The sequence below is a fragment of the Homo sapiens genome, chromosome 16, assembly GCF_000001405.40.
Source record: "Homo sapiens chromosome 16, GRCh38.p14 Primary Assembly".
NCBI classification, from domain to species: Eukaryota; Metazoa; Chordata; class Mammalia; order Primates; family Hominidae; genus Homo; species Homo sapiens.
Genome location: NC_000016.10, coordinates 81,361,836 through 81,375,692, shown reverse-complemented (window position 1 = coordinate 81,375,692; position 13,857 = coordinate 81,361,836). Strand labels below are relative to the sequence as shown.

Genomic DNA, 13,857 nt, shown 5'->3' with positions numbered 1-13,857 from the left:
TACCCAGCCCCATTTTATGTTCTTTTATAAAATGTCTGTTTAAAGGTTTGCTCACTTTAAAACTGGGGGCCAGGTGTGGTGGCTCAAGTCTGCAATCCCAATACTTTGGGAGGTTGAGGCAGGTGAATCACTTGAGCCCAGGAGTTCAAGACCAGCTGGGCAACATGGCGAAACCTTGTCTTTACAAAAAATACAAAAATTAGCCAAATGTGGTGGCATCTGTCCCAGCTACTCAGGCTGAGGTGGGAGGATTGCTTGAGTCAAGGAGGTCAAGGCTGCAGTGAGTTGAGATCATGCCACTGCACTTCAGCCTGGGCAAAAGTGAGACCCTGTCTCAAAAAAAAAAAAAAAAAGATAAATTAAAAAAAAAAAAAAGGACGTAGCAAGACTGTCTCTAAATTTTTTTTTTAATTGGGTTTACTGTCTTCTTCTTATTCAATTGTCAGATTCTTTATATCCTGTGGATATAGATACTTTGCTAGATAAATGTATTATGAATATTTTTTCCCAGCATGTAGGTGGCCTTTTCATTTTCCTAATGGACTCTTTTGAAGAACAGAAGTTTTTAATTTTGATGAATTCCAATATATCCTTTTCTTCTTTTACAGTCACAGTTTCTGTGTCATTCTAAAAAATCTTTGCCTACCCCAATACGAAGATTTTTCTCCTATGCTCTCTTCTGGAACTTTTAGTTTTATCTTTTACATTTAGGTCTATGATACATTTCAAGTTAATTTTTTGGGTCTGACATGAATCACAGTTCACTTTCTTCCATACAGATAGCTAGCTGTTCCAGCACCATTTGCTAAAGGCTTTTCTTTCCCCCACTAAATTGCCTTGGCACCTCTGTTGAAAATCAATTTAATAACCACTAAAAGGATTTGAGGCTCTATGAAGAAGTGCTTGATCCCAGAGCTGAGGCAGAGAAAATACAAGAGGGGCCTGGGGCATCCTGTCGTGCCAGATAGGAAGTGCTTAAAAAAGGATGGGGGTGTGTCAAAGGACACGGAAGCCACAGTGAAGCAGCTACTGACAGCCGAGGCTGGAACTATGTGAGCAAGAAAATCAATAATGATGGTGCTGGATTTATAACTCAGGAAATAAAATAAATATCCATGAATCCATATACTATAAATAATTGGAAAACATTAACAGGAAAAAGGGACAGGTTTCCTTTACCGAAAAATTCCAATTAATAAATGCAGAAGGAATGACGGGAACAAAATCATCATCAGGCAAACACCACAGTAATGACTTCTGCAGGCTAGGTCTACCAGTGGATGCTCAAATGAGTGCTTGACAGTTTCAGGAGAAAATCGTTTTGCAAATTCTCGAATGATCTCCACAAAAGTATTTAATAATTACAACAAGAAAATCAGTTAACTTTCCAGTGGAGAAATCTAACAGATACCACCTTAACCAAGTCATCAAGGTTAATGTCACCAGCAATAAGGCACATCAACGTGTTCTCCCTGATATGATGCAGAGAAGTGTGTAATATGACTTCTGTGGTATTGCCAAACTGCATAACCTCAGTCTAATTGCAAGAAATCATTAGATCAATCCAAATTAAGAGATCCTACAAAAAAATAACGAACCAATAACCTTCAAGAGGATGAAGGTCATGAGAGTCAAGGAAAGAATGAACCACCTGCTGAGTGCAGTGGCTCACGCCTGTAATCCCAGCACTTTAGGAGGCCCAGGCGGGTGGATCACGAAGTCAAGAGATCAAGACCATCCTGGCCAACATGGTGAAACCTCATCTCTACTAAAGATACAAAAATTAGCTGGGCATGGTGGCACGTGCCTGTAGTCCCAGCTACTTGGGAGGCTGAGGCAGGAGAATCACTTGAACCCAGGAGGCGGAGGTTGCAGTGAGCTGAGATCGCGCCATTGCACTCCAGCCTGCTGACAGAGCAAGACTCTGTCTCAAAAAAAAGAATGAAGAACTATCACAGATTAAAGGAGTCTAAGCAAACACAGTATCTGAATGCAAGGTAGAATCCTGGATTGGATCTGGAAACCGAGAAAAAAGACATTAGAGTAAAAGCTGGTGAAACTCCAGTAAGTCTGTAGTTTACTTAATAATTTTGGACAACATAAATATCCTGGTTTTGATGCTTGTACTACGGTCATGTAAGATGTTAACACTAGGAGAAGCTGATTGAATGGCTTATGGAAATGGGAACTCTTTAACTATTTCTGCAACTTTTCTACAAGTCTACAGTATTATTCCAAAATAAAAGTTTTTTATTTCTTTTTCTTAAAGAGTAAATCTAGACCCTGCTATGTAATAATAATGTTCCCTCAGGGTAATGTAAATGAACAATTGTCTGTTAATAGCTAACAGGCATAGCCAGGTCACAGTGGACTTCAGGAGGACCTTGGGAATGCATCTAAATGGTCTTAAGAGTTACCAAGGTCCAGGCCTACCCTCACTGGAGCACACAGTCATATGGTCATCACTCCATCATCCCTACTCTATGCTGTGAAGCAGCCAGGGCATCTCAATGTCAAAGAGAAATGTACAATTATTTCCTGAAGAACACCATTTTTATTTCAATGAATACTCTTCCTAGACTCTTCTAAGGCAGGTGGCTTCCACATTTTGAATTCCAATAAACACAAAAGTCTAATGACCACAGAACAACTCAGAAACAAAGCTAAGCACCATGTTTCTAAAGCCGTTCATCTACATTTGATTCAACTAACATCTGAATGTTGATGGGTGTCAGGTAGTCTGCTGGGACTGGGATACAGATTTTGGCCCCTGCCTCCCAAATGCCTCCAATAAAATGGAAAAGGGAAAAATCTAAAAGCTTGTGCTGAAAGTGAAAATGGAGGCCCTGAACACACCTTTGAAAGATAATGTTTGAAAAACATCAAACTACAATACTGGTTTATTCACATTTCACGTCTTCAGGCCTAAACATAAATAACTACATCTCGGCATTTAAGTTCTTCCCAGATTCTGAATGAAACCAACCAACATAGTTCATCCCCGGAATGACTGTATTAACCTAAGAAACTGGACTACATAGATGATCTACCAGGTTTTGTCCCAAGCACATCAATGATTCAGTTCCTGGGTTTCAGAAAAATACGCGTAGGTGATCTATTTTAGGTAAAGACAAGGCTTCAAATGAAACAGAACTAATTTGAAAATTTAACTGAATCACATCTTCAGGTGTTGCTGCTTATAAAACAGGTATAAAAGGCCATGAGGTTTTACATGTCATTTATCATCTCACCGACCCTGAACAATTTAGCTATCCTAGCCTGCTTCCTCATCTGTCGAGTGAGATACCAGATACCATCAACAACCTCAAATGACTGTTGTGAGGATGAAATGAATATCAATGTAAAGTATTTTGCATAGTTTCTAGTACTTACAAGGTATCATTAAACGATACTAATTTTTGCAATGAACAAGGCAATATCATGTCTTCAGTTATAATGTTTTCAAACGGGCTTGTCAGTACATGGGGGCTATAATGATGCACCCTCTGGTAACTCAGAATTAAGACTGCCCTGAGTCTGAAGCTTTAAAATACAGCATGGATTACAACAGTGAACTTCAGAGACAGGGAAGTAGAAGGGGAATGACAGGAAAGGAGAGAGGAAGAGAGCTATAGAGGAAAAGAGGGCAATCAATTGAGGAGAAAGGAGAGGAGGAAAGAAAAAGAGAGCTGTAGTGAGGCGTCTGCTTCCAGTATGGCAGAAGTAACTCTTAACAAATGGCTCCTCAGTTGCTCCAAGTGTCAGCCGTAAACTCTGGACAAACTACAACTACCTGAGCACTCTGGAAACTGAAGAAAAGCAGGTAGATTCTGGAAAGAAATGGAAAGTTAATTGAGCAAGCAACCCATATGGACTAAGTTTCCTGTTTCTTGGTAGCTTTCTCTGAAGGCAGCCTCACTGGGGCAGCTCTGGATAGCTAAACCCCTAGAGAAAATATGGCCATCTTTCTGGCTACAGGACTCAGCAATCAGGAAAAGGGGTCTTGGGGCAACCAGGATCTCCAAAGTGTGGTGGAGAACCTGAGAAAGAGGAGAGGTAGAGAAGCACCCCTCAATTTGTGCGCATCCACTCATCTCAAGTCTTCAACTAACCCTGGAACCATCTATGCTTATGACCGAGGCTTCGAGAACTGGACTGAGATTTCAGCTGCCACCCATGGCAGGTGGCACAGCTTGCAATTTAAGTCTAACCAAGTCAATTGCTGACTAAAACTCAGAGCAACACTCTAAAGCAATATAAGAAAATTCAAAGCTTCAAAAACATAATAGTAACCATATCCAGGATTCAGTCCAGAACTCCTCAACAGAAGAAGAGCCAGAAAAATTAGAACCCATTTCTCAAGGGAGCAAACAATCAATAGACGCCAACTCTTGAGATGACTCAGATACTGGAATTAACAGGCAAGGACTTGAACACAACTACCACAGTGATGCTCAGTAAGGGAAAGGAAAATATGCTTGTGATGGAAAGATAGGAAATTTCAGCACAGAAAATTTAAAAACCTAAAAACAAAGTACACAAACATTTTAGAATTACTAACATAAATAAATAACTAACATAAATTTGAAATAAAAAATTCACTGGATGGAAATAACAAAAGAAAGCAGCAGCAAACAAGACAGAGCAACAGAAACCATCCAATCTGAAGAAGGAAAAATGATACTGCAGACTGAATGGTCATGAAAATAAAACATATCAGCATGTCCAGCTAGAGTGGTGCTCTGTGGAAAGTTGAAGGCTTTCATGGTGTGCCTTAGAAAAGCAAAAGATCTACCATAAGTAATCTAGAATTCTACCTGAAGAAGCTAGAAAAGAGTAAAAGAAACCCAAAGTAAGTAAAAGGATGGAAGTAATATAGATGAGTGTAGGAATCAATGAAACAGAAAATACTAGGGAGAAATGAACCCAGTGTAGAAGCTGGTCTTTTGTTCACAGAGGGTGCAGACTGGCAAGGCCAGGGGCCAAAGGGCCACTATGCCGCTGTCGGCTGCCTTCCTCTCACTCCTCCTGTGCTTGCTCCTACCAGCATGCAGGAGACCAGGGGTGCACACTCTCCAGCGGCCTCAGCACACACACTTCCAATGGGATGAATCTCAGCCCTGTGGGATGGGGAAAATACTTCCTGATTTGTTCCTTCCTTGGGTGTTTTCCCTCTGCCCTAAAGGTAGCAGCTGTGCTTCCTACATTAGCTATTTCTACAGTTTTCAGAGTCCTCTTTTCCCACTTTTAGCAGCTGTCTCTTACTAGTGGTAATTACATATATTACATTTTCCCTGTTCAAAAGACTGGTGTGGTTTTTGCCACTTGACTGGACCATGACTGAAACAGATGTGGTTGGGGGTGGGGTTCATCTTTTATCCTCTAGTTCACACGTCTTACAAAGGCATCTGAAAGTACCTGTTTCTTCCTAACCATAAGATACAAACAGCACAATGTGGTCAGTGGGGTAGACCAGTGAGATGTTTTGTGGAACATCATGATGATTAAAATCTCTGTGGACTAATATACAGCCGACATTAGCCCATTATATATTAGTTGATACAGCCCTGAGGCAAGGCTGTGGAGGCATACTGTTGCCCCTGACAAGTAAAAGCAAACTGCTTCTGGTGACCCTTGCAAATTGGTATGAAGAAAATACATTAGCTATGTCAACGGCTGCCATACTAAGGTTGGGAACTGTGCCTCATAAAGATACAACATTTGTGTGAGGATATTACGTCTGGGAAAGAATTTGGGATCAGTATGATCACCTGATTAAGTTTATGAAAACTTTCTCTGTGTGCATTAAAAAAGCAAAACATCGGCTGGGCGCGGTGGCTCATGCCTGTAATCCCAGCACTTTGGGAGGCCGAGGCGGGCAGATCAAGAGGTCAGGAGATCGAGACCACGGTGAAACCCTGCCTCTACTAAAAATTAGCTGGGCGCGGTGGCGGGCGCCTGTAGTCCCAGCTACTCAGGAGGCTGAGGCAGGAGAATGGTGTGAACCCGGCAGGTGGAGCTTGCAGTGAGCCGAGATCACGCCACTGCACTCCAGCCTGGGCAACAGAGTGAGACTCCGTCTCAAAAAAAAGCAAAAGATCTACCATGAGTAATGTAGAATTCTACCCAAAGAAGCTAGAAAAGAGTAAAAGAAACCCAAAGTAAAAGGAAAACCTAAAAACAAGCTACACAAACATTTTAAAATTGATAACATGTTTGAAATAAAAATTTTCCAAGATTTTCCGAGATCCACTTTACTTTTCTACTTTTTCTAGGTGAATTAAGTGGGGATGTGATAGGCATCACCTCTCCTGCATTTTCTACTCTTTCATGGTGGCATGGTTTTTGCAGATTCACCCAGGATGCAGTATTGTTTCTGGTTTTCTATTTTGGTAGGGAAGCAGAGCTCCGGGGACTTCCACTTAGCCCTTGTTGTCATGGTGGCTCCCAATCCATGTGTCAGAGAACCAGCATGGTGATTTTGCCAGTTGTCAAGTATGTCTATTCTAGTTATATATTCAGGAATCAAAAGAGGAAACTGACAGATCTCAACTTCAAAGAACAGTTAATTTAACTTATATACTGTAAAAAATTAAAGTAGAGGGGCATCTAGGCTAAGCGAATGCACGGAGGCAGTAAAACACAAGAGGATTTAAAAAGTGAGCTGGAGTATACGATATGTGAAAGAAAGATACTAAAAAAGGGTGAAACTTTTTCTTAACCTCAAATCATGGAGAACCCTGAGTAGGTGGCTAAGAACTATTACCTTTGTTTAGTAAGCAGTGGGAAACAGTCAAGAATTCTGAGAAGGGCAATCAAAAACTCTGAGCAAAAAGGTATGTGCCACTATGCCTGGCTGATTTTTGTCAGGTTCATCTTTCAAAACCACAAATAAGTAACTGCACTGGCAAGGCTGGCCAGAGGCTAATGACACTACACAGATGCAGGAATAACTGTGAGGGTAGCAGCGGGGCAGGGAAGGTGGGAAATGTGAAAAATGCTACCAAGATTTAAAAAAGGACCAGACCTGGCAACTGATGAGTTGCAAAGTACAAGACAGAATTCAAGATGATTCCCTTTTCTGAGACAGGGTCTTGCTCTGGCACTCAGGATGGAGTGTAGTGGCACGATCATGGTCTACTGCAGCTTCCACCACTTCCCAGGCTCAAGTGATCCTTCTGCCTCAGCCTTCCAAGTAGCTGGGACCACAGGCGTGGACTACCATGTTCAGCTCATTTTTGAATTTTTTCAAAATTCATAGAGACAAGGTCTCACTATGTTACTCAGGGTTGTCTTGAACTCCTGGGCTCAAGGGATCCTACCACCTGGGTCTCCCAGAGTTCTGGGATTATAGGTGTCAGCCACTGTGCCAGCCAAGATGACCCTTTTTTGAACATGGATGACTGGGAGGATAGTAGTGTTACTAACAGAATATGGACACAAGGAACAGAAATAGAGAAACCGTCATTCTGGGTATATGAAGCTGTTGCTCTGGCTTGGTAATACTTTATGGCAATTTCTTTGCTTTCCTTTCAAGCAGTTTTGCTTTTATTCAGAAAAACAGAAAAGAATAAGATATGGCTTTTTTCCCAGAAAGTTTTAACCTAAAAATAGGGAACAAAGACAGGAAAGACAAGAGATTACTTAAAAACAATCGACATGGTCTCCAATCAAATATGGACTGCTCATCCGGCAACTACAGTTTCCACACTATGCCAATATAACACATTTGCGTCTGATCTTTTAAGAAATAAACTACTCCTACATGTTATTTTGTTCTATCGATAGTTATAGGAAAGCCTATATTTTTAAGTCAATCTAGCGTGGTAGTTGAAAAGGTGGACTCTGGGGCCAGAACGCCTGAGTTCAGATCCCACCTCAGCTTCTTGCTCCTTGTGTGTCTGTGGGCACACCGCTCACCCTTTCCTCATATGGAAAATAGGAATAGTAACAGTACCTACATGCGCTTCAGAGTGCTGTTTTGAAGATTAAATACATGGCATTTGGTGTTATATGTGTGTTTAATGTTATCTAAACATGTTAGAATCTTATATTGGTAAGATAAATTAACAGCTTTCTTCATTCTATTTACAAACATCAGAGAGCTTAGAAATAAGGAACTGAATATACATTAATTTTATTTGGAAGTGCTCTTATTTATTTAGAGACAGGGTCTCGCTTTGTTGCCCAGGCTGGAGTGCAGTGACACAATCTCGGCTCACTGCACACTCCACCTCCTGGGTTCAACCAATTCTCATGCCTCAGCCTTCTGAGCAGCCAGGACTACAGACACGTGCCACTATGCCTGGCTAATTTTTTTTTTTGTACTTTTAGTAGAGACAGGGTTTCACCATGTTGGCCGGGCTGGTTTTGAACTCCTGGCCTCAAGTGATCTGCCCGCGTCGGCCTCCCAAAGTGTTGGGATTATAGCCTGGAGCCAGTGCACCTGGCGAGAAGTGCTTTTAAACAGCAAAGAAGGAACCACAGTCTTACGTTTAATTATTATGAACTTAAAGCAAGTGATAGTTATATTAAAAGCTTATCCAGTACAAATATGTAACAACCTGATAGGCCAGGTGCGGTGGCTCATGCCTGTAATCCCAGCACTTTGAGAGGCTGAGGCGGGCGGATCATTAAGTCAGGAGTTCGAGACCAACCTGGAAAACATAGTGAAACCCTGCCTCTACTAAAAATACAAAAATTAGCCAGGCATGGTGGCATGCGCCTGTAGTCCCAGCTACTTGGGAGGCCGAGGTGGAAGAATCGCTTGAACCCGGGAGGCAGATGGTGCAGTAAGCCGAGATCACGCCACTGCACTCTAGCCCGGGCGACAGAGCGAGACTGTCTCCAAAAAAGAAAGAAAGAAAAAAAAAGACTTCATCCCTTGGGCAATCAGCCCTCCCAGTCATGTATCAAGGAAGGAAAAATGTAGAGAAGTCTGAAAATCTGCCCCTACCACAGCAAGTATTCTCTAAACTGCTCTCTAATAAATTTTCCTAAGATAGTCTATTCCTGTAATTGAAAAAAAAGGCTATGCAAATACCCTAAATTTAAAATACATGTTAGGCAGCATTTACATGCATTTGCAGCATCTTTGTAACTGCTCACTGCGTGCCCTCATCTAAAACAGCATGAAATTAAACATTATGTTATGGCACCCTCTTCTGGTAGCACGACTGAACTACTCTAATAAAATTACGTTTAGCACAGCAATTTCCCCTTAGGATTTAAACATATTACTGCAATAAGAATACTGCTCAGTGGTTACAACAATAAAATGTGTGAGGAAAGAGAGAAGACATCGAGAAGGATGTTATCTACCCTACAAGACATACGTGGCACTTGTCAGAGGTTTTAAGAATCTCAGAAATCAAGCCTCAGCCACTTAATCAACATTTTACTAAGCATCTGATACAGACAGGTAGGATGCTGGAAGCCAGGATACAGAGCTGACGAAGGTGGACCTTGCCCTGAAGTTGCTTGCAGTTAACAGCTACAACCCCAGAGACTTGTCTGGAGGGCATGGAATCATAGATGAAGGGATAAAAAATCAGACTAGGAGGCATGAGAAGGCTTTCTCTAGGTTTTGATAACTAAGCAGTTTTGAAAAAGGCCAAGCTAACTGGATGGACAGCGGGAAGGGAGCTTTTAGGCAAGTAGCAGCAATACGAACAGAGCTGAGACAACCACACATGTTTGCAGGGGAAAGTGGCTCGGTATAAAGTATCTGGGTCAGTAGCAGAAAAAGCAAAGGCCATATCACAAAAGGCTATATATGCTAAGTTAAGGAGTTTATTTATTTTTCTTTGGAGAACAGGGTCTTGTTATGTGGCCCAGGCAAATCTCTAACTCCTGGGCTCAAGCAATCTTCAGTTTCTACCTCCCTAAATGTTGAGACTACAGGTGTGAGCCACCATGCCCAACAAGTTAAGGAGTTTTAAACTTTTTCCTAAAAGCTATAGGGAGCCAATAAATGATTTTAAGCAACTAAGCGTCAAGATCTCATCTACATATTAGAGATATTTTCTATTTGCAGACATTTTAAGTTACTAGCACTTGTGAAGTCACTGAATAAATATCTAGTATGCATGAGACGTTATCTCCTAAATCCATAATTTAATAAAGTGACTGAAAACAAAACTAAACAAAGCTAAAATACGACTGAAAGCACAAAGAAAAAGTTGCAGTAGCTATGTGAAACCATTCTTAGTTACCTTTTAAACTCATCATGGTAGAACTCGGACTTGCAAGTTACCATCTCGCTACCCTGGGCGTCCTCACGACTTCGGACTCCCCCAAACACATACAGCTCCATAGCAACTCCACAGGCCACCGCTCCAAACCTGAAAGGCCACACACAGCGTTATCAGGCACAAGCTGTACAATGCGAGATCTCACTCCCGCGTTCCTCTTATGCTGGTTTAACTCTGCAGCATTACTACGTGGGCCTTCCTTTCTCAGGAAATGCCAAGTCAAAGAAAAGGTTACTCTGAAAGAAAAGAACAAAAGCCAGGCAGGGTAAGGGGCTCCAGACCCAGTGAACAGCAAGGGAATCTACAAAGTCCACCCCACAGCCACGTACCTCCTCTCTTTTAGTGGACATATGGCAGTCCACTGCTGGGTCCTGGGATCATAACACTCTACAGACTCAAAAAGCTTTCCGTAGGAGCCTCCACCCATGGCGTAGATTTTCTTTTTCATAGCTGCATAGCAGCCGATCTGAAAGCAGAGAACAATGGTGGGGGAGAGGCAACATTTCTCATTCAGGTCAGGTGAACAGATATTAAACTGTCTGGGCCATACTTAAAGAGATTTAGGAAGGGGTTTGATTTCTAACCGTAAAACGATGGTGCTTTTCAGTATTACAACACCGGACTTTAAAATGAGAAGAGCAAAGTAAGACACATATTCTTAATCTTCAGAAAAGGAGCTCTTACTCCAACTGATACTATTTCACTAACTGAAAGAAGTTCAAAAGCCTCATTTTTATTTATTTATTTATTAGAGACAGGGTCTCGTTCAGTTGCCTTGGCTGGAGTGCAGTGGTGCCATCATAGTTCACTGCAGCTTCAAACTCCTGGGCTCAACAGATCCTTCCGCCTCAGCCTCCTGGGTAGCTGGGACTACAGGTGCACAGCACTGTGCCCGGCTAACTTTATTTAAAACTTTTTTGTAGAGATGGGGGATCGCTTCAGCCTAAGAGTTCAAGACCAGCCGGGGCAACATAGTGAAACCCTATCTCTACTTAAAAAAACAAAAATTAGCTGGGTGTGGTGGTGCACACCTGTAGTCCCAGCTATTCAGTAGGCTGAGGTGGGAGGATTGCTTGAGGCAGAAAGAGGTTGCAGTGAGCCAAGATGGCGCCACCGCACTCTAATCTGGGCAACAGAGTAAGACCCTCTCTCAACAACAAAAGGAAAGAGAGAGAGAGAGTAAGAGAGGGAAAGACAGAAAGAAAATAGGTTGGGAAGATGTGGCTGCTGCACCATTTGCACACTCAAATGTGGAGCTTGACACACAGCGGTGCTGCACAGGGCCCACAAGCAGGATAAACTCTCACACACGCTCACTTTCCTATCTTGGTGTGTGGCTGATGACAGTGAAGGCAAACTACCGATAAAGAGAGTTCTATAAAGTTAATTCTTTTAACACCATCAGTTATATTAAAGGTTTATTCAGGATATGAAGACACATTAAGTTTAAAATCCAATGTGTACACAGACTAGTTATCACAAAATGCAGTCCTCACCTTTCTGACCATGGTCAAATCAGGTTGCTTTGTCCAGGTTTTAGAATAAATATCGTAACACTCCATGGAAATCAGCTCCTTTTCACCATCCTCTCCTCCCAAAATGTACAGCATCCCATCTATCTCCACAATTCCGAAGTTATGTCTTGCCTGAAATTACATTAGCGATCCCTGAACACACAAGGCCAATGATCATATTGAAAGCTGATATTCATACACTTAATAAAAATTAGAGAAACATAAAGATGGCAAAAATAGACAATGGGGACTCCTAGAGCAAGGAGACAGGGAGAGGAGCAAGGGCTGAAACACTAACTATTGGGTACGACGCTTGGTACCTGGGAGACTGGATTAATCTTACTGCAAACCTCAGCATTATGCAATATACACACATAACAAACCTGCACATGTATCCCCGAGTCTAAAATAAAAGTTGAAACTATTTTTAAAAATTAGAGAAATCTTTTTTCCCAGTGTTCCAGCATGGAAGTACCACGTTCAAAACCATTTCTCCGGTAATGCTTCTTAAAGATTTCTGGCTTCCCTAACAGCCCACTCTTCCAGCACAACAGCCAGAGAGGCCAAAGCCACTTCTCAAAACAAACTTAAGAAATACATGGTGAGTTCATCAGAAAATCCTCACTTTTTAACCCATAATAGCTCACAACAAGAAAATGAACTGTTACCTCTGGTTCAATACAATTATTTTTGCATAACAAAGGGCAGTGTTTTCAAGTTGACGTGGGAAAGGCTAGTATAAACTATGGCAGAAAGGGCTGTGGAGGACAGGGTCAGGCCAAGGCTATTTGGGATCATAGAAGCCCTAGGTGTTTCATGTCCGTTTGTCAATGAATATTTATGTAGTAAACCCTACGTGCCAAGCACGATTCTAGTGCTGAAAATGAAATACTGACCAGAACACATGTAATTCTCTGCCATCAAAGAGCTTATGTGAAAAACTTTAAATGCCTGGTCCGTGAGATGGTGAGACGTCGTACGAAGACGGGGACAGGAAAGCTAAGAGGCAGGAGGGAGGCCCGCTGAGAAGGTGCTGCGAGGAGGGGGCAGGCCACGCTGGCATCTGCACAGGGCAGGATAAATGTGAAGGCTGGGGTGAGGGCATTCCTGGAAGATTTCAGAAACTCATGGAGGCCAGAAGGAGTGAGGGCCAGGAAGGGGAGGAGAGCCGGGCACTAGAAGGAGAGGTTGGAGCGAATGAGGCAGGTGGCTTGACAAGGCTGCCGTTTCTTCCCTGAACTCAGACACAAAACAAACAGAAGCGCTAAGGGGAAAGAGAAACACATCAAACAAACCAACCAACTAGTGTTTTACCTCGTTCATAGGTGGCAATGCTGTCCATGTATTTGCATCTGGATCATACTTTTCTCCTGAGCTAAGAGTCTGCTTATTTTCATCTTGGCCCCCGAATACAAACAAAAATCCTTCTGCAAAGATCAAAGGAAACACAAATATGAAATGTGAGTCTTCAACACCCATAAACGCCACAGCATATATAGAAACAGCATCTGAAGAAACTCTCTGATGACAACAATGTTCTCTTTGGATTCAGGGCTTTTATCACATCCCATTGGATCCTTGGTGATGGAGCCAAACCATCACTTTGACCATTTTGCTTTACTCATTACTGTCTTTGAGGGGATTTCCACCACCCTACAATGAAAAAGGAAGCCTGGCGTCACCCGCTCAGTCACCAGGCAACTCTGGGCCATCTCAATTCATCTCTTCTGTTCCCTCTCAGCCTCTGGGATTCTCATACAACTTTTGCACCGCAGCGCACATCTGTTCATTCTAGACCCCAGGAATACCCAGATCTGAGGCATCCGTGTGCACTTTCTATTCAAAACAGGATCTAAGAGCAACTGAACTTCCGATTTCATGTAATGGCGTATTAGGTTATTCTTCTGCAAAAAACAATTTGCTGGATAAAACATTTAAAAAATAATCTTAGCCGGGTGGTGGTGGCTCAGCACTTTTGGAAGCCAAGCTACAAGGACTGCTTGAGCCCAGGAGGTTCATAGGAGGCAACACAGCAAGACTTCATCTCTACAAAAAATAATGAAATTAGCCGGGCATTGTGGTATTTGTCT

General features: G+C 42.2%; 1 protein-coding gene across 2 annotated transcripts in view; it reads right to left on the bottom strand.

The window, feature by feature from the left end:
- The window catches only part of GAN (gigaxonin), a 75,848-nt gene that overhangs the window by 15,117 nt on the left and 46,874 nt on the right, over nucleotides 1-13,857 (bottom strand). For both annotated transcript variants that reach the window (NM_022041.4, NM_001377486.1), the window contains 4 exons: nucleotides 13,082-13,194; nucleotides 11,750-11,899; nucleotides 10,583-10,719; nucleotides 10,215-10,343 (listed from right to left, as the gene is read on the bottom strand). In NM_022041.4, coding sequence (NP_071324.1) covers nucleotides 10,215-10,343; nucleotides 10,583-10,719; nucleotides 11,750-11,899; nucleotides 13,082-13,194 — 529 coding nt within the window. The remainder of the gene's footprint in view (nucleotides 1-10,214; nucleotides 10,344-10,582; nucleotides 10,720-11,749; nucleotides 11,900-13,081; nucleotides 13,195-13,857) is intronic.